Below are 27,543 nucleotides of genomic sequence, written 5' to 3'. Positions count from 1 at the left end.
GTTTTCTCCCTACCATTCTGTTTAATTACTGCTTTCTTAGAATTTTCTTTTACCCTTCAAAAGAGACTACTTTAATGTAATTATTCTATTTGTTGAATGTTCTACATTAGTTGAACAAATATTCTATTGTTGATAAACAATTGTTTATCAATTCAAGGAAGAAAAGAGACCTTTTTCATACTGAGATTAAATATACTTGTTTTTTACATCGAACTTTCCTTTTTTTTTTTTTTGTGACAGAGTTTCTCTTTTGTCGCCCAGGCTGGAGTGCAGTGGCACAATCTCATCTCACTGCAACCTCTGCCTCCCGGGTTCAAGCGATTCTCCTGCCTGAGTCTCTTGGGTATCTGGGATTACAGGTGCCCACCACCACACCCAACTAATTTTTGTACTTTTAGTAGAGATGAGTTTTCGCCATTTTGGCCAGGCTGGTCTCAAACTCCTGACCTCAGGTGATCTGCCTGCCTTGGCCTCCCAAAGAGCTGGAATTACAGGCGTGAGCCACCGTGCCCGGCCCAAACTCTCCAGTTTTCATACTCTTTGCCCATCTCCTGCCTCCACCTTAATATACTTCTCTAGAAAGGTAGAAAACCAACCCTTTATCCCTGCATTCATTGCCCACTATCAGCTTTGGTGTCAGAATGTCTTGGTAGCTGCGGACTAGCTCCAGATCAGAGTATGAGTTCTGTTACGTGATGATAGTCCGTGGTTTCCTAATTTGGCTACTGTAGATGGCACAGAGGTGGATTTGGATTAATGGTGTGTTTATTTTGTCATTGATGAAAAGTAAAAGCAAGGTTTTCTGAAGCTCTAACTTGTAAACCAAGAAATTTAACTTGTACTGCCAATGACAACCAATGACAAATGTTTTGTTACAAATATTCTAGGAGAGGTAGCTAGTAGGCACAGAGAAAGTGCAGTTTGTTCATCATTGTAGTCCCAGTTTTAGTATGATTCTTGGTACTCTGTAGGCTGTCAGTAAAGGTTTATTGAAAAAAATACATGTGTCAGCTTGGAGATTTCATTTAATCTCTCTAGACCTCACTTCTCTCATCTACAAATGGAGGGTATTGAATCAGATCAATAAGTTATCTTTTAACCATTTTCATCTATGAAGCATTCTACATATATGTATTGAGAGCCTACCATTTTCTAGAACCCATGCTTAAACATTTTTGATAGTAACTTATGGGAGATATATTTGAATATCTTAAAACATAAATCACCTTAGGCATAGCAGATGATTTTATTCTTTTAAATATTCACAGTGCATTGGAAAATAAATTATTGGTTATTTTTTCATGGGCTTTAATCCACATATCCTGTCTCTGTTGGTGCTTTGAGGTGCTCAGCATGAAAACTCGTTGCAGGCCTGGGTTCGGCATCCTGTGAATGCTAGCAAACCGCCTGCCTTCCGTGGTACCCAGGACTTGTGGAGCCCAGCACCTGCTTTAATTTTGACCAAGTGAATCTTGGGACTGTTCCAGCCCACGTTCCTTTCATGTTGCTCAATAGCAACCCTTTAACTAAATGTTTCATCTGGCAAAATGAGATGAAAAATAATTTCTGGTAAAAGTAATTTTCTAAGACCTTTTTGGTTATTCCTCACCTACTTTGTGTTCAGTATAAGAAAGTTACTCTGCTTGTAATGAAGCCAGCTGTCTACAAAGTAAGGTCGTTAGGGCTGCTTAATTAAAGAAAAAGAGTTTAATTAGTTAAAGAATAAGTTTAACCCCAGATCAGCAGTAGTCTCTGAGGACCACACAGAGGGAATAATTAGGAAGTTGGCTTTTATTTCTCTACTCCAAGCCTCAAGTCAGTTTTCTTCAGTAGAGAAGTGAAAAACATCTGATCTTGAACAACCCATACTCTTGACAAGATTAAGAAAAAAAATCCATTAATCTGATTACTTTACCTTCAGAGTATTAAAGGATTCAAATTCCTAAAGTTCTCTAAATTTTAATGATTCCAACAGCACTTCCATCTGAGAATCTCAAAGAATTTCACACATGCGTTCAGTCGCGCATATACTTCAAAGCAAGCACTTTTATCCCTCTTTCTTTTTGGTGATAAAATCGAGACAAAGAAAGGTTAACAAATATTTTCAACCATCAAAGGCTGTTGGGTGATAAATGAAGAAAGTAAGTGACCTTTTATTCAGTTCATCACTCAAATAGTTAGTCAACATTTTACAAAACTGGTGTAGACCAGCTCCCTTGAGAATGTATGTCTGAATCTTAAGGGGCATATTTTGATATAAAAATGTAGAAAAATATACCTAGACTAATGTTTCAGAAAATAAATAGCAGCATTGATAATGTGCTCTGAATTACAATTTCATCTATTATATTCCAGGCTGAACTGAGCAAAGGGAGAAAATGTTGTTGTTCCTTCCCCAAGTAGATTTAGTACAAAGTGTGTTATCATCTTTTCATGGTTTTCATTTTACAAACAGGAAAGATTACTTTATATTAGCCAGTGGAATGCAGATTTCAAATCGTGCAAAGTTTACTCATTTTTTTTCCTACCTAAATAAACTCCCCTAACATAAAACCATCTCTTTTTCCCTCACCAAGATACCATTCCTAGTCATTCCTTTTCCAACAGGGTTGTTTTCTCCCCCATTTTTTTTTTGTTTTTAGTCTTTTCCCCTTCCCACCCACTGAATCTTCTATACACAGTCAGTTAATATGTCTCTATGGAGCCCTGGTTTTGTAACTAAGACTATGCCAAGTGTTTTGGGGAATCCTGGAGAAGAATGACACACATCTGTATCCTCAAGTGGCTTACACTTTGACTACAGATATAGAAAGAACATGGGAGGAGTTGTAAGAAACCCAGCAGGTGCTAAATTGTATTACCAGGAAGAACAATGGGTGGTTAGAAAAGGGAAAGGCCAGCATGGTAGGTGATGACCACCTCCCTTCCACTCAAAAGGATGTATTATCTCACTTTTCTTATTGTGCCTTAGCACAGTGGGCCAAACTGACAGTTATGTATTTATGAATGTCTCCTTTGTCCCCATTCCTTTGGAACTTCTTGGAACCAGGTTCATACACCTTTTGGCTCTAGCACTAGGCCAGGGAATTAGGCATGGTTGATGTTCAGTGTTCATGGTAAGGCTTCCTTGGCTCAGATTTTGAAAGATGACCTGGGATTTAGGTTGAGTGACAATCGCATGCTGGAGCACTGGAGTCACAAGCACACGTCTTGGTGACGGAGATGAGCAGGATGAGAATCTCTGGGAATCTCTTGGCTGGGTTACACTGTATGAATTTGTTCCTAAGGGAAATGAAATAAACCAGTTAGTATTTTCTACCACTTATACCCCATGATCACTGACTGCTTAGGTGTACTGTGAAAAACTTGCCTGTGTGCCCATTCTTTTTTTTTTTTTTTTTTTTTTTGAGACAGAGTCTCACTCTGTCGCCCAGGCTTGAGTGCATTGGTGTGATCTCGGCTCACCGCAAGCTCTGCCTTCCAGGTTCACACCATTCTCCTGCCTCAGCCTCCTAAGTAGCTGTGACTACAGGCGCCTGCCACCACGCCTGGCTAATTTTTTTGTATTTTAGTAGAGACGGGGTTTCACTGTGTTAGCCAGGATGCTCTCAATCTCCTGACCTCGGGATCCACCCGCCTAGGCTTCCCAAAGTGTTGGGATTACAGGTGTGAGCCACCGTGCCCAGGCAGCCTGTGCTCACATTCTTCAGAGCTCTGTTTGCTGGACTTGAGAACATACAAACACCCAAATGGAAACCTCAATTCAGTGTTTTTGCAGCAAGTACAGTGATTACACAGTCATTTAGTTGTTAAAATAATAGTTAGTTTGGCAAGGGCTCTTCCCTGTTGCCATCATTTTGAAATCTGATGTCTCTTTACACTTCAGATGATAATGGAGGCTTCACTTTTTTAACTCTTATAAATGAATGGAAGTGGAGTTCTGGTTGATCGTAGTGTGTTTATGGGAGAATTCAACATCCAGAAAAGAGCATGAGATTTGAGACCAGAAAGCAAGGGTTCAAAGTCTGACCCCTGCCCTTAGGCCTCTGCTGCTTTTATCCAATGATTACACTGCTCTGAACATTGTTAGTCACTGTGAGTGTTGGGACCAAATCTGCAAGCTATAGGGACAAGCCAAAACAATGTATATTAAAATCATCTTAGAAATTGAAAAGCCCTTTGTAAAAATGAGTAGTAATAACAATTGTCGTTATTCTATTTCTATTCCAAATATCTGCAGGAAGTGCTAAAATTTCAATAACAGAGGAAAACATGTCTGGTAAAATGTGACAATATGAGTGGTATATTACTAGATTGAATTTTAATTTGTCCAATAAACCCTCATACAGTTCAGAGAATTGTGACATAAGACAACATTTTGTTAATTCTAAAAATTATCCACATATGGCCTTCACATGATACAAACAAGTATCCATTATAAACCATTGGTGATGAGTTCTGAAAACTTAAGATTTCAGCTAAAATATATTCAATCATCAATCACTAGAATGTTAGTAATTATGCAGAAGGTAACCAAAGGTGAACCCTTTTTGTTTCAGCCTTTTGGATACTATGAACTACATATACTGCATACCTTCTATATGCCAGGCACATTTAATTGTCCCCAAAACTCTGTGCAGTAGCTCTTCAGGTTTGGCTTATCTTACTAAGAAAACCAATTTAGAGAGGCTAGAACATGTACCCCAGTTCCCACAAGTAGTGAATTTTATGTGCCAGGTTCCCCCAGTCCAATCCAGTGCTCTTTTCACTGCTACGCTTACAGGGCAATTGGTTATAAAGATGTACTTTGTGCAAAGGACTTAGGCCGTCCTCCTTTGACTGTGAAACTCACACCACAGTGAGACACTGTGGAAGGTATGCAGACCACATCATCTCATACTAAAAGGAGACATGAACCTGAATCTTTCGGGATTCTAAGACCTCAGTTTTAGAAGTATAAACTTTTTGATGCATGCATTTTGTGAGGATTTTCCTCTCCCTTCTTCAATGTGCATGCATGCCAAAGTTCTGCTTTTGAATGTGGGGCTTCATTTTATATATGCAACCTTGCAAAGCATTTTTTAAAAGCTGTAACAAGCTTTGCCAGTGCTGCTTGCTCCAAATGTGTGTGATTACTGGTTAATCAGAATGGTTAGTGTAAGTGAATGGATGTTGTAATATGAATAACTGTGAATGTTGACTCCCTGTTCCCTCTTGAAAACAAGCTAGTTCAGCCAGCTTAATGAGGTTTTTCTGGAGTGTTTACAAATTTTAAACAATTAAAATTAAATTGAATTGAAGTTCTTTGTAATTATAACTGCATTTACATCATTATCATCCAGGCAATTAGGAGGAGGTGGGACAGATGAGGCTTTTCAGGTTTAAAGTCACAATCATTATTTTCAAAAAATGATAGCATATATTTTCAAAAGTTTCTCATTTCAGTTAGCCAGAGGAACAAATACCTTGAGAGTTCATAGTCCAGCATGTTTTCTTTCATTGTCTTTTTCAGACATATACAAATTAGATTCCCTTCATAGGAAGACTTTTAAGGATGATTGCCAGTCTTGGCAACGTTAATGACTATTCAAAGCTCACAAGGAAGCAGTGGTTTGGGCATGAGCAGGCATTACATTCTGTGGGGTCGAGCCCAGGGGGCTGCTGAGACTCGTTTATCCAGAGGTTTCTGAAAAGTGTCTAACACAGCATTGTTTGTAATTTGGTCCTGAATAAGGGACTTGGGACTGGAAAAAAAACAAAGCTTTGTGTTCACATAGCAGGCATGAAAAGTAGTCTGCGTGGTGAGGGCAGTGTACAGTTTGCAATCATCATGGCAGCTGAAGCAGCCAGAAAAAAATGTCATTGAATTTACTAAGGTATGTGTGGAATAGTGCTCTTTAAGTGGGTTTCTGTGATCAAAGAAGGAAACAAGGGCAAATCACTCTGAAATATTTTTTGTATGCATTGTTTTGATAAGCCAACCTGCCAATTTACTTGGATTGTGGAGATAGAACCAACGACAGGAAAGGCAGGTTCAAGGATGTCTGGATACACTAACTCCAACGAAAATTGCAACCTGTTCTCTCGACCCCTTATGTTTCTTCCCTTCTGAAGAACCCTTATGCTAATCTTTTCCTTTCTAGACATTCCTTTTTTCTTTTTCTAAAATCATCTACGTAATTGGCAATGCTTTGCCTATTGCCTTATATGGTTTTTCAATGATTTCTTAGAAGCTAGGTAGTTTCTCTTTAGTGAAATATGAAACTTCATCTGGGCCAAGTGCAGTGGCTCATGCATGTAATCCCAGCACTTTGGGATGCCGAGGTGAGAGAATTGCATGAGCCCAGGATTTTGAGACCAACCTGGGCAACATAGAGAGGTACTGTCTCTATAAAAAATTAAAAAATTAACCAGGCATGGTGGCACTTGCCTGTAGTCCCAGCTACTTGGAAGGCTAAGGTCGGAGGATCACTTGAGCTGGAGAGGTCGAGGGTGTAGTGAGCCATGATCACACCACTCCACTCCAGCCTGGGGACAGAGGGAGACTCTGTCTCAAAATAAATAAATAATAAATAACAATAAAAATCTGAATTGGAGGGACTCTCCTTTTGAGCTATTTGTTTCAAGAATTTAAAACTATTTTAGAATTTTCAGTTAAGCAAAACTAAAATATATTTGAGTTTTTGGAATGCAGAAATTTTGAAAAATTAAATATTTCTGTGCATGTTGTATGAAGACTAAATATACAGCCATGCCTCCTTATCTGTAGTTTCACTTTCCAAGATTCCAACTACCCACAGACAACCATGGTCCAAAAATATTAAATGGAAAAATTTAGAAGTAAACAACTCATCAGTTTTAAATGGCACTCTTCTGAGGAGCTTGATGAGATTTCTCACCAACCTGCTCCGTCCAGCCTGAGATGTGAATCATCCCTTTGTCCAGCATATCTACACTGTAGACGCTACCCACCTGTTAGTCATTGCATAGCCACGTGCTTATCAAATCAACTGTCATGGCATCCAGTATTTCAGTGCTTGTGTTCAAGGTTGATAGTGGCCTAACACTACATCACAACGGCTGTGTCATTCACCTCTCTTCATCTCATCGCAAATGCATTTTGTCATCTCACATCATCACAAGAAGAAGGGTGAGTCCAGTGCAATAAGATATTTTGAGAGAGAGACTACAGTCACATAACTTTTATTACAGAATGTTATAATGGTTCTAGTTTATTATTAATTATTGTTAATCTCTTACTGTGCCTTATTTGTAAGTTAAACTTTATCACAAAAATAAGTGTATGTAGAAAAAACTTAGCATACAGAGGGTCTCATACTATTCACTATTTCAGGCATCCCCTGGGCACCTTGGAATGCATCCCCTATAAATAAAAGAAGACTAATGGAAAGAACCCTTGTCTTCGCAACATCTAGATTAAGAAATGGAATATTACAAATAGAAATATGGCCACCTTCATGTTTCTCTTTGATCTGATTTTCCTCCTTTCAGTCTCAGAGTTAATCTAATCTTAAATTCAGTCTCTCTTAATTATGTATATATATATAGATAGATATAGATATATATACTTTTTAACATTTTCATGGGTCTCAAGTCTATACATAGTATTGTTTTTCATTTATAAAACATCATAAACTGATAACATACTGTATGTATTCCTCTGTTCCTCTCTTTCTGGCTGGACCCTGTGTGTGAAGTTTATGGAGATAGCACATTTTTTCTGTGCTGTGCATTGTTCCATCATGTGAATAATCTTCAGTTGTTTATCATTTCTTTGTGGCTCTTACAAACAGTGCTGCTAAGATCTTTCTTTTCTCATTTTCTCTTTTCTTATCTCTCCTCTTTTTTTTTCTTTTCTTTCTTTTTTTTTTCTTCTTTCTACAGAGCCTTGCTTTGTTTCCCAGGCTGGGTGTAGTGGTGCCTTCTTAGCTCACTTCAGCCTGGAACTCATGGGCTCAGGCAATCCTCCTGCCTCAGCCTCTCAAGTAGGTGGTACTACAGATGTACACCAACACACTCAGCTAACTTTTCCATTTTTTGTAGAGATGGGGTGACATTTTGTTCCTGTGCTCAAGTGATCTTCCTACCTCGGCCTCCCAAAGTGCTGGGATTAGATTACAGGCATGTGCCAACATGCCTGGTCCGAAGAACTGTCTTGGTCATGTCTCCTTAAGCGCATGTGTAAGAGCTTCTCCAGGGACATATAAATAAGTAGGAGTGAAATTGCTGGGTTGTTGGCTCATTTTCAACTTTACTAGGTCTTATTAAATTTCTCTCCAGAATGGTTGCACCGATTTATACTCCTACTAGGATTGCTTAAACATTCCCAGAGTGCCACATCCTGCCAAGTTTTGATTTTGCCAGACTTAATTTTTTTTGGTCCATCTATTGTTTGTGACATGATATCATTGTGGTTTTTATTAGAATTTACACATTAAATGGAGCTGACCATCTTATTACATGTTTATGGGCCCTTTATTTAAAGTACCTCTTCTTTGAGGTGCCCGTTCATGTGTTTTTCTTATATTTTCCTTGGATTGTTTGTTGGGTTCTTATTGATGTATGGGATACCAGTCCTTTTTTGGTTATATGCATTGCAACTATCTTCTTTCACTTTGTGTCTTGCATTTTTGATGTTTTTATTTGCGTCTTTCGATGAACAGAATATTTTATTTTAATGCAGTTGTGTTTATCAGACTTTTCCTTTGCTATTTGTACTTCTGCGATTCTGCTTAAGGAATATTTACAACCTTAGATTCATAAAAATATCCTGTACTGTAAGCATTGAACTTTTTATATATTTGTGAATAAACAATTTACCAGCCCCATTTACTGGGCAGCCTATCTTTTTCCTATTGGTCTGCAATGCCAATTACATCACATATCAAGTTTTCAGATGTATGTGGGTCTGTTTTTGGGCTCTTCCTTCTGTAGCATCTGAATCCTTAATGAGATTTAATATTCCATTTGTGAGGAACTACACCTTTATTATTTTAAGCATACTGCTGTACTATCAGTATCACTGAATCAGTCTATCTTTTAGTCAATCAAAAAAAAAAAAAAACTATTACAGAATTCCAAGCTGTGTGATCAGCATTGAACTGGAAACAGTGCAGGGAGTTCAATAAGAGAATAAAGTATGAAACAAAGTCTCTGCCCTCATGACGGATGGGGAAAAGCAAGGAACAAGCATTTATTACGTACTTAGTCTGAGCTAGGCATCCTGTGAGAAGCTTAAAGGAGTTAATCTTTCTAGGTATTCAATGTTAACTCTTATGAAACAATTAGAGCAAGCTTGTCTAACCTGTGGCCCTTGGGCTGCATGTGACCCAGGATGGTTTTGAATATGGCCCAGTACAAATTTGTAAGCTTTCTTAAAACATAATGAGTTTTTTTTGCAATTTTTTTTAGCTCATCAGCTATCATTAGTGTTAGTGTATTTTATGTGTGGTCCAAGACAATTTTTCTTCTTCCACTGTGGCCCAAGGAAGCCAAAGATTGGAAACCCCTGAATTAAAGAATACGTTCAGGCAAATTTTATTTCTGTTTAATTGTACTTTTTAGTCTGTAAGTACTAGAGAAGTTCAAGAACATGTTTGACCCTATGCATAATTTATTAATTTATAAAGAAGGGAGAGTGTGATTATGGGATGGGCAAACAGGAGTATAAGTACTTGGCACTGAATTAACTTGGGTATTTTTAAACTCTTCTAAATCTATATTTCTGCCTAGAGTTACATTAGTTCTATAGAAAACTGCTCTTTTTCACAGAATAATTTGTGGCATAAAATGTTGAACCCAACAGGAGCATTGTCAGGGTTCTCTAGAATTCTTTGTCCAAACCAGGTGGACTTCAAGTGGGAAGCCCCACCCACTGGAAGGCAGGTCTTTCTGTGTGGTTAATGTGGAAGCAAATCCCAGGTCTTGGTCCTCTCAGGACCTTAATTTGAGGTCATTGAAAAAAATAACCTTGCAACTATCAGATGAAATTCTTCAGAATTTTTTGACATATTTGATAATCATATAAAATTATTTATATCTGTGTACAATCTAGGGTTTCTCCAATACAAAAGAGCAATGACACAAGATGAAATAGAGAGAAAAGACCACCTTTAAAGAAATGGCTGATTTTTACTCCTCTATTTAGTGGGGGTTAAATTAAATAATGCCAATGACAAGTTGTCCAAACATGGCTGAATCAGTAAGGTCATCTAATTCTTAATTAATATTAGTCCTTAATTATGAGAAATTTAGAAAGCACACGTGTGTGTGCATACACACAAACAACATCTAGATCAGTTTATAGAGTAGCTATTTCTATTATGAATACAAATTTTGGCATGTTAATATAGAGCAATTTTAAAAGAGGTTTAAGTTTGTCAGATACAATTACCTATCATAGATATTTTAAATAACAATTCTATTCATTTTTCACAAACAAATTCTTTGGCTTCATGTAGAAATTGTTTTACTGTCTGCTCACCTTTCTTTTGGAAGTACATCTCAAACCAATTAACATGTAGGCTAGAAAAGAAATCCTGGCTGGCTGCATACATCCTCCCACCCAGGCTACATAATTTTCATTATTTACCAGTATCTACTCAGTGCTACTCAGTGAGGCACCAAGGAAGTACTGAATGCCCACTCCACTTGCCAGACTTTGGACTGGGTGCTTTCTATACCTTGCCATTTCACTGTGTTTAAGCTGTTGAATATATATAGAAACTTGGAAATTGGTGGAAAAACAGCTTAGCATAAAGTTAAGTTGTATGATTTTCTTCTGTAATAAAAACTTGTCTTCTATTATAAAAACTCAGTCAAATCCATGCATAATAAAAATTGATGATATTTAATCCTCAGATGATTAATCAAATCATCAAGTATGTCATAAAAATAGGACAAATCAATGATATGCTATTCAAGATAGCATTCTCACATAGCAGCAATATGGTATTCTTTGGTGTGTTTGTCATTGACAGAATTTAAATTATACTAGGCATAATGCTATTTGAGAATTTTTGATAGAAAAAAATAATTCTAACAAAATTTAAGCATCCTCCTTTATTTTACAAAAAATGTACATTGTTTCTTTCCTTTTTACTTGTGTGGCTAAAGGTGTTAGAAAGTCAATGTTTGCACTTTTAATCAATATAGAACAAAGGACCTTGTGTATGTTCACTGTTGAGTACATTGGTCAAATGTTTAATCAAGATGATTCTTTCCTGAGGTGTGTATTTCATCTCGTATAATTTTTTAGGAGTTCATTTGGCAGACGAAGCAAGGCAACCTTTTGTGAAATTGAACTGTTAAACCTCATCTCAGATAAGAAAGAAAATTCCAATTCATATACCTTGGACTAATGACCACATCAATGCTATATGCAAATATTTTTACATATTTCTCTTGTATAAATATATCATTCAAAGTATCTGTCTTTTGAATCTGTATAGGTAATAGGAAATCAATTTTCTGATATGAATATTCTCAAAATTCGTGCAACAAATGAAAACTACTTGTGAAATTCCTCCTATTGACATTAACATCATCAGAATTCTAACTGAAGTAGTCATTCAGTCCTTGTTCATTATAGTGTCTGGCTTTGTGATTTCCTGTAGAGAGAAGACATGCTTATTTTTCACTTCCAGGTCAAGTATGTGAAAGAGATGCTATACTGAGTCCTCAGCACTCCTTATACTTTAACAGAGTTTTCCTTTTCTTTTCCCAGCTTTACTTCCAAAGCATATCAGAGAGAGGCAAAGAGCATCTCCAGTTCAAAAATTCACTGTCACCCCATGTGGAATACACATTTGTAGTCCATTAAATGTGCAAAACTTCCGAAGTATGCAAAACTCCTTTTGGGTATTTTACAAAATCATCACTATTCTTAGGATGTTGCTTCTGCATAAGCTAACATTTGTCATTTGCGCTCAGGCCATTCCGAACCTCTTTCTACTCCAAATTCGAATGAACAGCCCAGAAATTATCCAGGAGAAAATTCAATAACTTTTAATTAATTTTGCATGACCTGGAGAAAGAAGAGAAATTGCATGCAAGCAATAATGCTGCCTGTATTGCATGTCTGAAATATAGACCAGCCCAACTCTGCACAACCTCCCGTTTCAAATATATCTAAATCAATTCCCTTTTGTAAAGTAACTCATTCTTATTGCTGTCTAGTTATGCCTAGATGCCTGAGATAAGATGCCCTTCTACCTTAACCTTCATTATTCTTTCAAAAGTTTGCAATATGTTGGATACATTATTATTTTTCCTCTCATTTTTGAAAACAGTTTTTTATCAGAACCACACTGGTTGATGTAAATAGATTTTTAAAATATAACTGTATACCTATATAATGAATTATGTAATTATCCTGGAATTAAAAAGAGCATACATATTTTCCATTGAATTCAATAAACTTTTATTTTATACCAACCTTGTTTATAGCAGTGTGCTGAGGACATGCCCAAGGTCAGATAATGCCATGTCTCTGATTCCAGAAAATGTAGTCCAATGTGGTAGATGACATTCACAGATAATTGCGTCATGGTGTGGGATGTAAGAAATACTAGAGAAGTATTAGGTCACTGCAAAAGTATTCGTGGTTTTCGCCATTACTTTTAATAGCAAAAACCATGATTACTTTTGCACCAACCTAATATAAAAGCGCAAGAACTAGACAGTCTAGTTGGAGGAGAAAGGAGAAGTTACAGGCTGGAGATTAGCAGATAAATTTTTATCAGATAGAAGTTGAAGGTTGAGGAATATTGTAGCACATTTTCCTCCATTTCCAGTCCTGTTAATAAGGCATGCTAGATGTGCTTCTGAATGAATAAAGGAGTTTAAATACTTCCCTCTGTAAATGTTTAGGATGTTAATTCTGAGTAAAGGTGATACAGGATATAAAATCAGTGTTTGGAGAAAGTAATATCAAAACATTGATCTTCCAAATGAAGGATATGTTTAAAATATTTTTAAAATCTTTGAGCTCATGTATATGATCAACAGCTTCACTTTATGGTTCATTAATATGTAATACTGCCCTGTTATGCATAGATATGTTAAAATAATTCTTTTAATTTTCTAATGCCCATCTCTCTTAGGGTAGTGTTTTCCGGAGTGTGGTTCCTGGGCCACCTACAGCAGAATTGCTTAGGGAGTGCTTGTTGAGTCAGAATCAGAAGTTCTGGGGCTAGAGCCAGAAGTTCTGGGGCTTTAGCACTACATGGGCCAGACCTGGTCCTGGAGGGGCTGTTGGTTTATGTCATAGCATTATAATCTCAAAAGTTTAGTGTGTTTATGTACAGGCTGTAGGATAATGTGTTCCTAATCTCATGGTCTTTGATCTCCTAGGTTAGGCCAAACCTTGCCAGATGATAGAGTGTGCAGCAATTGTAGTGGCATTTAGTTGTGAAAGATCTTAAGGCCTCTGGGCTATTGCTCCAAATTCAAGATCAAAGACTCTGATCCTAAAAGGAAATTTAAGCTGCATGGATGTGCTGATGGTTGTTTGCAAATGACTTAAAATAAATCTTTACTTCCAGTTTACTAGCTAAACTAAACTAGAAGTTATCTTGATTTGTTCTACAATATATCATCACCTAAAATATTACCTCCCATGGCCAACTATTGAAGTTTGTAATAGATTATCAAATGTATTTGTCAGTAATATCGGTTTCACCTGCATTTGGCTTATTACCTAGAAGTCAAGGTGATCTAACACCCATTGCTGAGACACTTAAAAACCCATCACTCTGTGTCCTCCTATTTCTGTGGGGCTCCTCTGGCCCTCGTAAATAGGATGTGGGTAGGACTCCTATGCTGGAGCCGCTCAAACCTTCTCCTCCAGAGCCAGTCACATTGGTGCCCTGGTGTTGGTGGCCACATCCTTGTCTTGCCCATTGAATTCATTTGTTGAAATTGTATAAGCCTCCCCAGGTTTCCCAGAACTGGGATCCTGTGATGTGTGCAATGTTTTTGGACATTTTTGCAGTCTCTGCTATCTTCCCCAGTTCCCCATCTATAGTGGGTTGTATGGCGGCTCTTAGAAAAAACATGTCATGCCCTAATACTCAGAACCTGTGACTATTACCTACATGGCAAAAGACCTGATTATTGATCTTTTTTTAACCTTTGATTTTATTTATTTTTTTTAATTTTTCTGGGTACATAGTAGGTATATATATATCAATATTTATGGTTACATGCAGTGTTTTGATACAGGCATGCAATGTGAAATAAAAACGTCATGGAGAATGAGGTATCTATTTCCTGAAGCATTTATTCTTTGAGTTATAAACAATCCAGTTACACTCTTCAGGTTATTTTTAAATGTGCAATTAAGTTATTGACTATAGTCCTTCTGTTGAGCTATCAAATAGTAGATGTTATTTATTCTTTCTATTTTCTTTTGTACCCATGTTAACCATCCCCACCCTCCCAATGCCCTGATACCCTTCCCAGCCTCTGATAATCATTCTTCTACTCTCTATGTCCATGAGTTCAATTGTTTTGATTTTTAGATCCGACAAATAAGTGAAAACATGCGATGTTTGTCTTTCTGTTCCTGGCTTATTTCACCTAATATAATGATCTCCAGTTCCATACACGTTGTTGCAAATGACTGGATCTCATTCTTTTTTATGGCTGAATAGTATTCCATTGTGTACATGTACCACGTTTTCTGTATCCATTCATCTGTTGATGAACACTTCAGTTCCTTCCAAATCTTAGCTATTATAAACAGTGCCACAACAAACACAACAGTGCAGCTATCTCTTCAATATACTGATTTCCTTTCTTTTGGATGTATACCAACCAGTAAGATTGCTGGATCATATGGTAGCTTAATTTTTAGTTTTTTTGAGGCATCTCTAAACTATTCTCCTTAGTGGTTGTACTAATTTACATTCCCACCAACAGTTTACAAGGGTTCTCTTTTGTTGACATCCTCACCAGCGTTTGTTATTACTTATCTTTTGGATGTAAGCCATTTTAACTGGGACAAGTATATTCTGGTTATTAATCTCTTGTCAGAGGGGTAGTTTGTAGATATTTTCTCCCATTCCATGGATTGTCTCTTCACTTTCTTGATTGTATCCTTTGCTGTATAGAAGCTTTTGAACTTGATGTGATCCCATTTGTCCATTTTTGCTTTGGTAACCTGTGCTTATGGGGTATTGCTCAAGAATTGTTTGACCAGAACAATGTCCTGGAGATTTTCCCCAATATTTATTTTCTTGTAGTAGTTTCATAGTTTGAGTTTTGTCTCTAATCCATTTTGATTTGACTTCTGTATATGGTGAAAGATAGGAATCTAGTTTCATTCTTCCGCATTTGGATGTCCAGTTTCACCGGTACCATTTATTGAAGACACAGTTTTTTTCCCCAGTGTATGTTCTTAGCACCTTTGTCACAAATGAGTTCACTGTAGGTGTGTGGATTTGTTTCTAGATTTTCTGTTCTCTTCCATTGGTCTATGTGTCTGTTTTTATGCCAGTACCATGTTGTTTTGTTTACTATACCTCTGTAGAATAATTTGAAGTCAAGTAATGTGATTCCTATAGTTTTGTTCTTTCTGCTTAGGATAGCTTTGGCTATTCTGGATCTTTTGTGGTTCCACATATATTTTAGGATTTTTTCTATTTCTTTGAAGAATGTCATTGGTATTTTGATAGGGATTGCATTGAATCTGTAGATGCCTTTGGATAGTACGGACATTTTAATGATATTGATTCTTTCAATCCATGAACATGGAATGTTATTCCATTTATTGATGTCCTCTTCAATCACTTTTATTGTGTTTTATAGTTTTTATTATAGAGCTCTTGCACTTCTTTGGTTAATTCCTATTTAATTTTATGTGTGGCTGTTGTAAATGTGATTATTTTTTCTTTTTCACATTGTTCACTGTTAGCATGTAGAAATGCTACTGATTTTTGCATGTTGATTTTGTATCCTGCAACTTTACTGAATTTATCAGTTCTAATAGAGTTCTTGTGGAGCCTTTAGGTTTTACCAAATATAAGATCATATCATCTGCCAACAAGGATAATTTGACTTCTTCCTTTCCAGTTTAGATGCCCATTATGTTTTTCTCTTGTCTGATTGCTCCAGCTAGGATTTCTAATACTATGGTGAATAACAGCGGTGGCAGTGAGTATCCTTGTCATGTTTCAGATATTAAAGGAAAGGCTTTTAGTTTTACTCCATTAAGTATGATACTAACTGTGGGTCTGTCATATATGGCTTTTATTATGTTGAGGTATGTTCCTTCTATCCCTAGTTTTTTTAGGGTGTTTATCATGAAGTGATGTCGAATTATATCAAATGCTTTTTCAGCATCAATTGAAATGATCATGTGGTTTTTATCCTTCGTTCTGTTGATATGGTGAATCACATAATTGATTTGCATATGTTGAACCATCCTTGCATCCCAGGGATAAAAACAGCTTTGTCATGATGAATGAATTTCCTAATGTATTGTTTAATTCAGTTTGCTACTAATTTGTTAAGGATTTTTGCATCAATATTCATCAGAGATATTGGCTTGTGGTCTTTTTTGATGTGTGTTTCTCTGGTTTTTGTATGAGGGTAATACAGACCTTGTAGAATGAGTTTGGAAGTAATCCCTCCTCTTCTATCTTTCAGAATCATTTGAGTAGGATTGCTATTAGTTCTTCACTAAATATTTGGTAGATTTTAGCAGTGAAGCCATCGGGTCCCAAGTTCTTCTTTACTGGGAAGATTTTTATTGTGGCATCGATCTTGTTATTTGTTATTGGTCTGTTCAGGTTTCGGATTTTTTTCCTCATTCAATCTTGGTTCTATGTATCTAGGAATTTTTCCATTTCTTCTAGATTTTTCCAATTTATTGACATATAGTTGCTCATAGTAGCCCCTAATAATCCTTTAAATTCGTGCAATATGAGTTATAATGTCTCTTTTATCATTTCTGATTTTATTTATTTGGATATTCTCTCTTTTGTTCTTAGTCTGGCTAAAGGTTTGTCAATTTTGTTTAACTTTCCAAAAAACCAACTTATTGTTTCATTCATACTTTGCATTTTTCTTTCAATTTCATTTATTTCTGTTCCGATCTTCATTATTTCTTTTCTTCTACTAATTTTAGTTTGGTTTGTTCTTGCTTTTCTAGTTTTTTAAGATGCATCATTAGATTTTTCACTTGAAGTTTTTTTTCTTTTTAGACATAGCCACTTATATCTATAAACTTCCCTCTTTTGAATTCTTCCTTCTTTTGAATTCTTTCAGTGATCCCATGGGTCATATTGTTTAATTCCCATGTGTTTGTATAGTTTCCAAAATTCCTCTCATTATTAATTTCAAGTTTTATTCCATTGTAGTCAGAGAAGATGCTTGATATTATTTCAATTTTTGAGTGTTTTCAGACTTGTTTTGTTACGTAACATATGGGCTGTCCTTGAGAGTGATACATGTGCCAAGGAAAACAATGTGTATTCTGTAGCTCTTGGATGAAATATTCTGTAAATATCTGTTAGATCTATCTGGTTGATAGTACAGATTAAGTCTAATGTTCTCTTGTTGACTTCCTGTCTCAAAGATTTGTCCATTGCTGAAAGTGGGGCCTGCAATCTCCAGCTATTATTGTATTGGGCCTATTCCTCTCTTTAGCTGCAATAATATTTCCTTTATACATCTGGGTACTCCAGGGTTGTGTGCATATTTATTTAAAATTGTTATATTTTCTTGCTGAATTGATGCCTTTATCATATACAGTGACTTTTTTGTCTCTTTGTAAAGTTTTTGTCTTAAAATATGATTTGTTTGATAGAAGTATAGCAACTCCTGCTCTTTTTTGATTTCCTTTGGCATGGAATATCTTTTTCCATCCCTTATTTTCAGTCCATGTGTGTCTTTATAGATGAAATATGTTTCTTGTGGGCAACAGATCAATGGGTCTTCTTTTTTCGTTTATTCAGCCAGTCTATGTCTTTTGATTGGAGAGTATAGTACATTTACATTGTGTTATTATTGACAAGTAAGGACTTTGCCTGCCATTTTGTTATTTGTTATCTGGTTGTTTTATGGTCTTCTCTTTTTTCTTTCATTTCTGTCTTCCTGTAATGAAAATAATTTTCTCTGGTGATCTGAATTAGTTTCTTGCTTTTTAGTTTTTGTGTATTCATTGTATGTTTTTTAGTTTGAGGTTACCATAGGGTTTGCAAATACTATTTATAACCAACTACTTTAACCTGATAACAACTTAACACTATTGGCATAAACAAACAAGGAAAAAGAAAATTAATAAAAACTCTACACCTTAACTTTGTTCCCCCATTTTTAATTTTTTTGTTTCTATTTACATCTTATTGTACTATGTCCTGAAAATGTGTTATAGTTATTATTTTTATTAGTTCATCATTTAGTCTTTCTACATACAATAAGAGTAGTTTATACACCAGAGTTACAGGGTTATAATATTCTGTATTTTTCTGTGTGCTTACTATAAATGTTGAGTTTTGTACCTTCAGATGACTATTTATTGCTCATTAGTGTTCTTTTCTTTATGACTGAAGTACTCTCTTTAGCATTTCTTGTAGGACAGGCCTGGTATTGATGAGATCCCTCAGCATTTGTTTGTCTGGGAACATCTTTATTTCTTCCTTGTGTTTGAAGGATATTTTCAATGGATATACTATTCTAGGGTAAAAGTGTTTTTCCTTCAGCACTTTAAATATTTCACTCTCTCCTGGTCTGTAAGGTTTCCACTGAACAGTCTGTTGCCAGACATATTAGAGCTTCAGCTTATGTTAATTGTTTCTTTTCTCTCGCTGTTTTTAGGATCCTTTCTTTATCCTTGGCCTTAGAGAGTTTTATTATTAAGTGCCTTAAGGTAGTCTTCTTTGGGTTAAATCTGCTTGGTATTCTATAACCTTCTTGTACTTGGATACTGATACATTTCTTTAGGTTTGGGAAGTTATCTGTTATCCCTTTGAATAAACTTTCTACTCCTATCTCTTTTTCTACCTCTTCTTTAAGGCCAGTAACTCTTAGATTTGTTCTTTTGAGGCTATTTTCTAGATCCCATAGGTCTGGTTCATTGTTTTTTTATTCTTTTTTCTTTCATCTCCACTGACTGTATTTTCAAATAGCTTGTCTTCAGGCTCACTAGTTCTTTCTTCTGCTTGACCAATTCTGCTGTTAAAGGACTCTGATGTGTTCTTCAGTATGCTAATTGTATTTTTCAACTCCAGAATTAGTGCTTGATTCTTTTTAATTATTTCAATCTCTTTGCTAAATTTATCTGATAGAATTCTGAATTGCTTATATGTGTTATCTTGAATTTCTTTGAGTTTCCTCAACGCAGCTATTTTGAATTCTTGGTCTGAAAGATCGCATCTCTCTGTTTCTCCAAGTTTGGTCTCTGGTTCCTTATTTATTTCATTTGGTGAGGTCATGCTTTCCTGGGTGGTGTTGATCCTACTAGGTGTTCTTTGATGTCTGAGCATTGAAGAGTTAGGTATTCATTCTAGTCTTTACTGTCTGGGCTTATTTGTAGTCATCCTTATAGGGAAGGCTTGCCTGATATTTGAAAGGACTTCGGTGTTGTGATCTAAGCTGTATCTTCCTTTGGGGGCACCCCAAGCCCAGTTACACTGTGGTTCTTGCAGACTCATAGAGGTACCACCTTGATGGTCTTAATTAAGACCCAGGAAAATTCTCTGTATTACCAGGCAGAGTCTCTTGTTCTCTTCCCTTACTTTCTCCTAAACATACAAAGTATCTCTCTCTATTCTGAGCCACCTAAAGCTGGGAGTGGAGTGATACCAGCACACCTCAGTGGCCACCACCACTAAGACTGTGCAGGTTAGACTTTGATATTGTTTGGCTCTGTGTCTTCAACCAAATCTCATATCTAATCGTAATTGCCAATGTTGTGGGAGGAGCTGGTGGGAAGTGATTGGATCATGGAGGCAGATTTTCCCCTTGCTCTTCTCATGATAGTGAGTTCTCATGAGATCTGGTTGTTTAAAAACGTGTAGCACTTCCCCCTTCGCTTGCTCTGTCTCTCCCCACTGGTACACCATGTGAAGAAGGTGCTTGCTTCCCCTTTGCCTTTCTACCATGATTGTAAGTTTCCTGAGGCCTCCCCAACCATGCTTTCTGTACAACCTGCAGAACTGTGAGTCAATTAAACCTCCTTTCTTCATAAATTACCCAGTCTCAGGTTTTTTTATAGCACTGTGAGAACAGACTCATATAGACCTGAAGCCAGTACAGCACTGGGTCTCGCCCGAGACCTGCTGTAACCACTCCCTGGCTACTTCCTGTATCTTCTCAAAGCCCTTGGGGCTCTACAATAAGCAGGTGGCAAAGCCATCCAGGCCTGTGTTTTTCCCTGCAGGGTGGTGAGGTCCCCCAGGCCCCTAGGTGGGTCCATAAGTGCCATCTGGGAGTCAGGGACTAGAATCAGAAACCTTAGAAGTCTACCTGGTGTTCTATTGTACTGTGGCTGAGCTGGCACTCAGACCACAAGACCTAGTCCTTCTCATTCCTCCCTCTTCTTTCCAAATCCATAGGAGCCTCACCCATACCCACTGCCATCCCAAGCCATGAGGAGTACTGCCAAACTAGCAAATGTTCCCTTAAGGCCCAAGGTTTCTTAGGTCAACTTCTGGTAAATGCTGCCTGGCCTGGGACTTACCCTTCAGGGCATTGCCCTTCCCTCTGGGAAGGTCCAAACATGTCATCCAAGAGTCAAGTCCTAAAACTGGGAAACCCAAGAGCCTGCTTGGTGCTTTTCTCCCCTGTGGCTGTGCTGGTGCCTAAGGTACAAGACAAAGCCCTTTTTACTTTTCCTTCTGCTTTTCTCAAGCAGAAGGAGTTTTGCCCCTTTGCCACCACAGCTGGTAAGGTACTGAGTTTCTCCTGAAGTCAGCAAGTCTCAGAGGCTCACCAAGGTCCTTACCTACATAGTACCTGGGCATCACTGCTGGTTATTCAGGACCCAGGGACTTTTCAGTTAACAAATGAGGAATGCTGCCAAGACTGGGTCCTTTTCTTCAAGGCAGTGGGATCCTTCCTGGCCCAGAGTGTTTCTAGATATGTGGTCTGGGAACTAGGTCCTGAAGTGGGGCCTCATGACTCTGACCAGTGCCGTATCCTGCTGTGGCTCAGCCGGTATCCAATATGCAAGACAAAGTCCTCCCTACTCTTCCCTCTCCTCTCCTCAAGTAGAAGGAAGGGGTGTCTTTTGTAGCTGTGAGCTGTGCAGCTGGGGTAGGGGAGGGGTGATGCCAGCACTCCCTTGGCTGCCCCAGCTGGTATCTCAGAAAGTCACATGCCCCACCCACCCGCCAGCAGACCACTGTCTGTGGGCCTAGTTCAGCACCAGGACTCACCTAAAAGTTGCAATCCTTATGGCCCAGACTGCCTTTCAAGTTTACTCGGAGACATGGAGCAATGTGGCCCTCAGTGGCAAGGTTTGCAGGCACTCAAGTTCCAACAGCTGGGATCTGTGATTCCCCTCTGGCTGAGGCTGGTTTAAATGCTCCCTCTCAGAGTGGGCAGCAGCTGAGTTTGGTCCGGTTTTCCTTTCTGCTCTATCAAGATAGCACTGAATTTGATGCTTCACAATCACTGTGTTCTCCCTCCCCCAGCACCAAGAGATGCTATTGGCACCATGCCTCTGCTGCTGCTGGGGGTAGGGGAGGGATGGTGTCAGTGATTCAGGATTTTTAAAAAAATCTCTTCAGTGCCTCTTTCAGCAATATGAAGTTACAATCAGGTACTGTGAATACTCCCCTGATTTTTGGTACTTATGAAGGTGTTTTTTTTTTCTGTATATGAAGTTGTTAACTTGGTGTCCTTGTAGGGGGAACAATCGGCAAAGCCTTGTATTCCACCATCTTACTCTGATTATTGATCTTAAAGGAGGAGTTTATCTTGAGTTATCCAGATGGTCCCTTAATGCATATATCCTCTCACAGAATTCATAGAGGAGGATGCAATGTGAAGATGTGAGAGAGAGAGAGAGATGCAGCCACAAGCCAAGGAAGGCAGCAGCCACCAGAAGCTGCAGGAGACAAGGGATAGGTTCCCGCTGCATTGGAGGGAATATGGCCCTACTGACACCTTGATTTTGGACTTCTGGCCTCTAGAACTGTGAGAGAATAAATTTCTGTTGCTTTAGCCACCCAGTCTATGGTATTCCCCTACAGCAGCCTGAACTGAGATAATCCCCAAGCCTCACTTTGTGCCTGTGTATCCGCTATTTATGATAAAAAATAATATTTGCAATAACTTAGTTTTTATGTCTTAAGATTTCCACATGTCAACCTAGCTTCATCCAAATGACCAGTCAGAATGCTTTGTACTTACCTTGAGTCACTTGTTTTTCCAATCAGAGGTGAAGCTTTCATCCTGGGGTCCTCATGCAGCCCCCAGATCCTTTCCACCATTTAAAAATATGGAGATATCTATAAAGTTCGGATTTACACCTTCTTCTGAGAACTGAGAGACCTTTCGACACAGGCTCACCATGGTGCCCAGCAGGCGTGGTCAGATAGAGACAAACACGGCGGCTGGGCTGCTCCCTTGGCCTGTCCCTCAACTTGCTTTCCTTGCCCAGCCCTTGCAGGCACTGAGTGTGAGGTGCCCATCCATCACCCTAAGAACAGGTGCCTCCCCAGAATACTTCATCATGAGATGGCCCCTGTGACCCCCAAGGTCATTCCCATCTCACAGTTAATTTTCTGATTCTGTGATTTGATGGGAAATTTCTCAGTGATTAAACTTCTTATTTTCTTCCCTGAAACCGAATCTATACCAGTGACGGCATTTCTACATGTGTAAACTAGAGAGGCATTTCTGAAACACTGTTTCTGTGTCGGAGGGGGTTTTGACCAACAGCTTCTACAAGTGCCTGTTTGCACTGACAGCTGCGTAGTAACTGAGAGGATTTTCTTGATTTGGGCAGCCAATCTTACCAGGGCCTGAGGGATATTTTCTTTTCTAAAGGAGTTAGCTATATAACCAGAAAAATCCTTGTAAACATTTCTTTTTGTCCAATGGGTTTCCAAAATCGATTATAGCTTGTTTGGAGCAGGAAAATAAATGAGAGTGAATAGTCAGGGAGCATCTTCTGGCACCACTGATGTTCACTGCCCCAATTTCCTTTTCTTTTTTGTGTCCCCTAGCACAGCCTGATATGCCTGGGGATAATTGTTAGCCTATACCATTACATGTGGCAAGTAGCGCTCATTTCAGGGGACTGGGAAATCCCTTGTAATAGATACTTATAAAAATCCATGTAATAGATTTTCAGGAAATATTGACTGATTGCAGGTGTCCGATCATAGCACCCTAGATGTCATGTCTACTTTTAAATATGAACCATTTTTGAAAGACTTATACAAGCTAGATTGGATCCACAATGGTGTTATCTAGCAACCCCTTTTTCTTCCTTAAATGAACCTCCCCCTGCTCCCCATGTAGTGGTACGCTGGGTGAGAGGGACCTGGGTTTGAATTTTGCCTCTATCAAGGTTTGATTGGTCTGGGGCAAGTTACTTTAACTCTGTGATCTGATTGTCTACAAATGGGGACAGTAATGCCTACCTCAGAAAATTGTGGCAAAAGAAAATGTCATAATATACTTACTTACCACAGTGATATACTTACCACAGCATCTGACATAAGATACCTATCTGCCTCATTGCTGTAGTAAAAATTACAACTGCCTATGTTGCTGTAAAATGTATGGGAGAGTCACTCATCTGTCATGACCTCAATTCCCTAGGACATAGCCGAGAACCTGTATTAGGCCATTCTTGCATTCCTATGAAGAAATACTATAGACTTGGTAATTTATAAATAAAAAAAGTTTAATTGGCCCACAGTTCTGCAGGCTGTATAGGAAGCATAGTGGCATCTGCTTCTGGGGAGGCCTCAGGAAGCTTCCAATCATGGCGGAAGGCAAAGGGGGAGCAGGCACATCACATGGTGAAACCAGGAACAAGAGAGCGAGGGGAAGGTGCCACACACTTTTAAAGGACCAGATCTCATGAGAACTTGCTTACTGTCATGAGAACAGCACCAAGAGGATTGTGCTAAGCAGCACCAAGAAGATTATGCTAAGCCATCCATGAGAAATTCATCACCGTGATCCAGTTACCTCCCACCAGGCCCTACCTCCAACATTTGGAATTAAAATTCACCATGAGATTTGGGTAGGGACACATATCTAAACTATATCAAAATCTAAAAAGAAATTAAAAAGGTTTTGTTGTTAAAGCAGTTGCCTTAGGATCCATGTACTAAATTGCAAGTGCTTTACTTTTTGAGGACTGTGGTTCTCACTTATAAATAGTGTACTCCTACCTTGTTTTACATTGCTAACCAACTTGGTTATAAGGTTTCTAAATTCATAGCAATGCAGCAAGAGGAGTATTGTATGGATATAAATTACTCTTAGAGGTACCTATGGCAATAACAGTGGCATACAAGTGACATTAAGGAAAGGGACAGGAAATTTATGATATATGCTCAGCATTGATAGTTATAGTGATTATTCTAAATGATCATGGAAAAGTAAAATTATCTTCAGGTCATACCAAGAAGACTTAAAAGAATATGCTTCATTTCTGGAAAGTAATTTCCACACTTTTTAAGTTTGCTTGATTGAATGGGCAGCTAATAATTTATCTGGAAAATCCATGTACTTGAAATATCTTATTTTTTATTCCTCTAAGAATAAAAAAATGTTAAGGACAGTAATACAAGATAAGTATCCCTTATTCAGAATGCTTGGAAACAGAAGTATTTCAAATTTCAGATTTTCTCAGATTTTGGAATATTTGCATTGTACTTACTGGTTGAGCATTCCAAATCCAAAAATCTGAAATACAAAATACTCCAATGAGCATTTCCTTTGCATATCTTGTCGATGCTCAAAACGTTTTGGATTTTGAATTTATATTAACTTTTCTGGGTCCATGAGAAAACATGTTCAGAGGTATGTTAAATAATTCCCTCTAGGAATTTTATTATGAGATTTAAAAATTTAACATGCAAGTAGAAACTCAAAGTGATACTATGCAAATATTATTATATAAACATATGCAACACTGCAAAAATTGAATACCTGAGCAATTGAGCCAAAAATAATTTCTAAATGAATTATAATTTTATAAATTGTATGTTAGCATATAATATGCATTGTTGGAAAAGATCATTTGTATAAGAAAAATATGTTTCTTCTTGGAATCACAGAAGTTTCAAACTGGAAGGAACCTAACAGTTCTAGTCCAGCCTCCCCTCTGAGACAGGAGTCCCCTTTACAACTCCCTATATACCCTTAGTGTCATGAAGCAGTTTGGATAATGGATGCTGGAGCCAAATTGCCTGAGTTTGTATTCCAGCTCTACCACTTACACTCTGTGTGACCTTGAGCTAGTCACTTGACCTGCCTGTCTCACGTGCTTCATCTAATTATTGGGGAGAAGTATGATAACTACACATAGAAATTATTATCTTGAAAATTATATGAGTTAATACATGCAAAGCACTTAAAATGGGGTTTGGAATATAGGTACCAATAAATTGTTTAGTGACATATAATCTATAATCCTTTAAATTAGGAGCTACACTAAGTGAAAAGAAGAGACGAGGGTATTTGTCATATGGTTCATGGGTGTTACATGCTGGGGTGATGTGTATGAACTGACCTGTCTGCGTTAGAACCATCAGACCTTGACGCTTGTCATGTTTTCTTGTCATAGTCATATTAATGGTTACCAGGTCATGGGGGAAGTAGGTACAGGGAGACGCCATTATTACTTGAAAGGATAGCTACAGTAGCCAGTTGCAGAATGTCTTGCCCTCCCTGATGCATTTACTCCCTTGGAAGTGAGTCTCTCACCCTTCTCAACAGCATGACTCACAGCACTTTGTAAGGGCGCATTGGAATGAACTGCCCTGGTGGGTATCCTGGGTGACATAGACAGGAATAGAGCAGGACAGAAGAGACAGGCTAGCATTGAGTTGCATGTGATGCTAGAGGTCTCGCTGAATCCTGGCTGGACCATAGCTAAAAATATTCATCAAGCGAGAAGTGTATCTCAATGAGCACAATGGACCACAGTGATAGGAACTTTGTCTATAGAAAGATTAGGATCAAATTAGCATGTAAGAGAGGTGTTGGCAGAAGGAATTCGAGGCCAGCACCAAGGATAGTTCCCTGCAAGGCTTCAGCGCACAGACTTTCTCAAAAACAGTTCAGTCTCTGATCCAAGCTCTCCTTTGACTAAATATGCCTGGGCCTAGAAGGGAAATCTAATAAAGCCAGTTTAAATGAAGGTCACATCTTTTCCTCCCAATAAGTCTTTATGGTTTGTTCAGAATAGCAGCAAAATGTTGCTTATGTTGAAAGGTGCCTGATTTTCTGAATTCTTGAACATTTTTCATTATGATTTCCTTCTGGAATGCTTCTTCTTATTCTTAAGGCCAGGGAAGTTTCCTGAGAGTGAATCCACAATGATCCTTGACTGTGTTCTTAAAAAAAAAAAAAAACACTAGAACAGATTTAGTTGACTGTGACTTTAGATGACCATGTTAAGAATATGTGCTACTCAGCAAAAGAACCTATCATCAAACAACCTACAGAATGGGAGAAAATTTTTGCAATCTATCCATCTAACAAAAGTCTAATATCCAGAGTCTACAAGGAACCTAAACAAATTTAGAAGAAAAAAACCACAAACCATTAAAAAGTGGGCAAAATACATGAACAGACACTTCTCAAAAGTAAATATTTATGGCATCCAACAAACATGAAAAAAAGCTTAACATCACTGATCATTAGAGAAATGCAAATCAAAATCACAATGAGATACCATCTCACACCAGTCAGAATAGCAGGTATTAAAAAGCCAAGAAACAACAGAGGCTTGGGGCCTGTCGGAGGAGAGGGGGAGGGAGAACATCAGGAAAAATAGGTAATGCATGCTGGGCTTAATACCTAGGTGATGGGTTGATAAGTGCAGCAAACCACCATGGCACAAATTTACCTATGTAACAAATCTGCACATGATGCACATGTACTGTGGATCTTAAAAATTTTTTAAAATAATATGTTCTACCCTTTCTGGGCAGTCTCATCATGACTACAATCCCTGGAGCTTAAGAATGAACTTGAATCTTTTGTGGCTCAGATAGAAATATCACTAAAATCTGTGCTAGAAATAATCTGTTCACTAATCCCAGGCTATAGTTATTTGGAAAGTTCTGAATTCACTCCTCTTGGTCTTGTCTTTCTCTAGGTCTGCTCCTTGCTAACATTTAGTGGAGTGTTGATGCCATAATTAACAAAGTGTCAGGCTCTCCTCTAAAACTCACTTCTACCCACAGCACCCAACAGTAACTTTTGACAATTTTTCACACCTCTCACAGATGCTTAATCCACTCAGAAATAAGCGGTAATACTTTATTCACCAGCCCCTACACCTGTACTTTCCATCAGTGAGCTAACTTTCATTGAATG

At 37.9% G+C, this 27,543-nt stretch overlaps 1 protein-coding gene across 19 annotated transcripts in view, besides 1 other annotated feature; it reads left to right on the top strand.

Moving 5' to 3' along the window:
• The window catches only part of NCKAP5 (NCK associated protein 5), a 1,003,049-nt gene that overhangs the window by 621,885 nt on the left and 353,621 nt on the right, over positions 1-27,543 (top strand). The gene's annotated exons all lie outside the window — the stretch shown is intronic.
• Positions 6,163-7,362: an enhancer, noted in NCBI's record as "BRD4-independent group 4 enhancer chr2:133803163-133804362 (GRCh37/hg19 assembly coordinates)". NCBI's record gives its function as "activates an origin of replication core promoter dependent on BRD2, P300/CBP, MED14 and CDK7 cofactors, and independent of BRD4, by STARR-seq in HCT116 cells {active_cell/tissue: HCT116}" and the evidence as "EXISTENCE:reporter gene assay evidence [ECO:0000049][PMID:35650434]".

This window comes from Homo sapiens, chromosome 2, assembly GCF_000001405.40.
Source record: "Homo sapiens chromosome 2, GRCh38.p14 Primary Assembly".
Lineage (NCBI taxonomy): Eukaryota > Metazoa > Chordata > Mammalia > Primates > Hominidae > Homo > Homo sapiens.
Note: the sequence above shows the minus strand (reverse complement) of the source record. Positions and strands in the feature narration are given on the sequence as shown.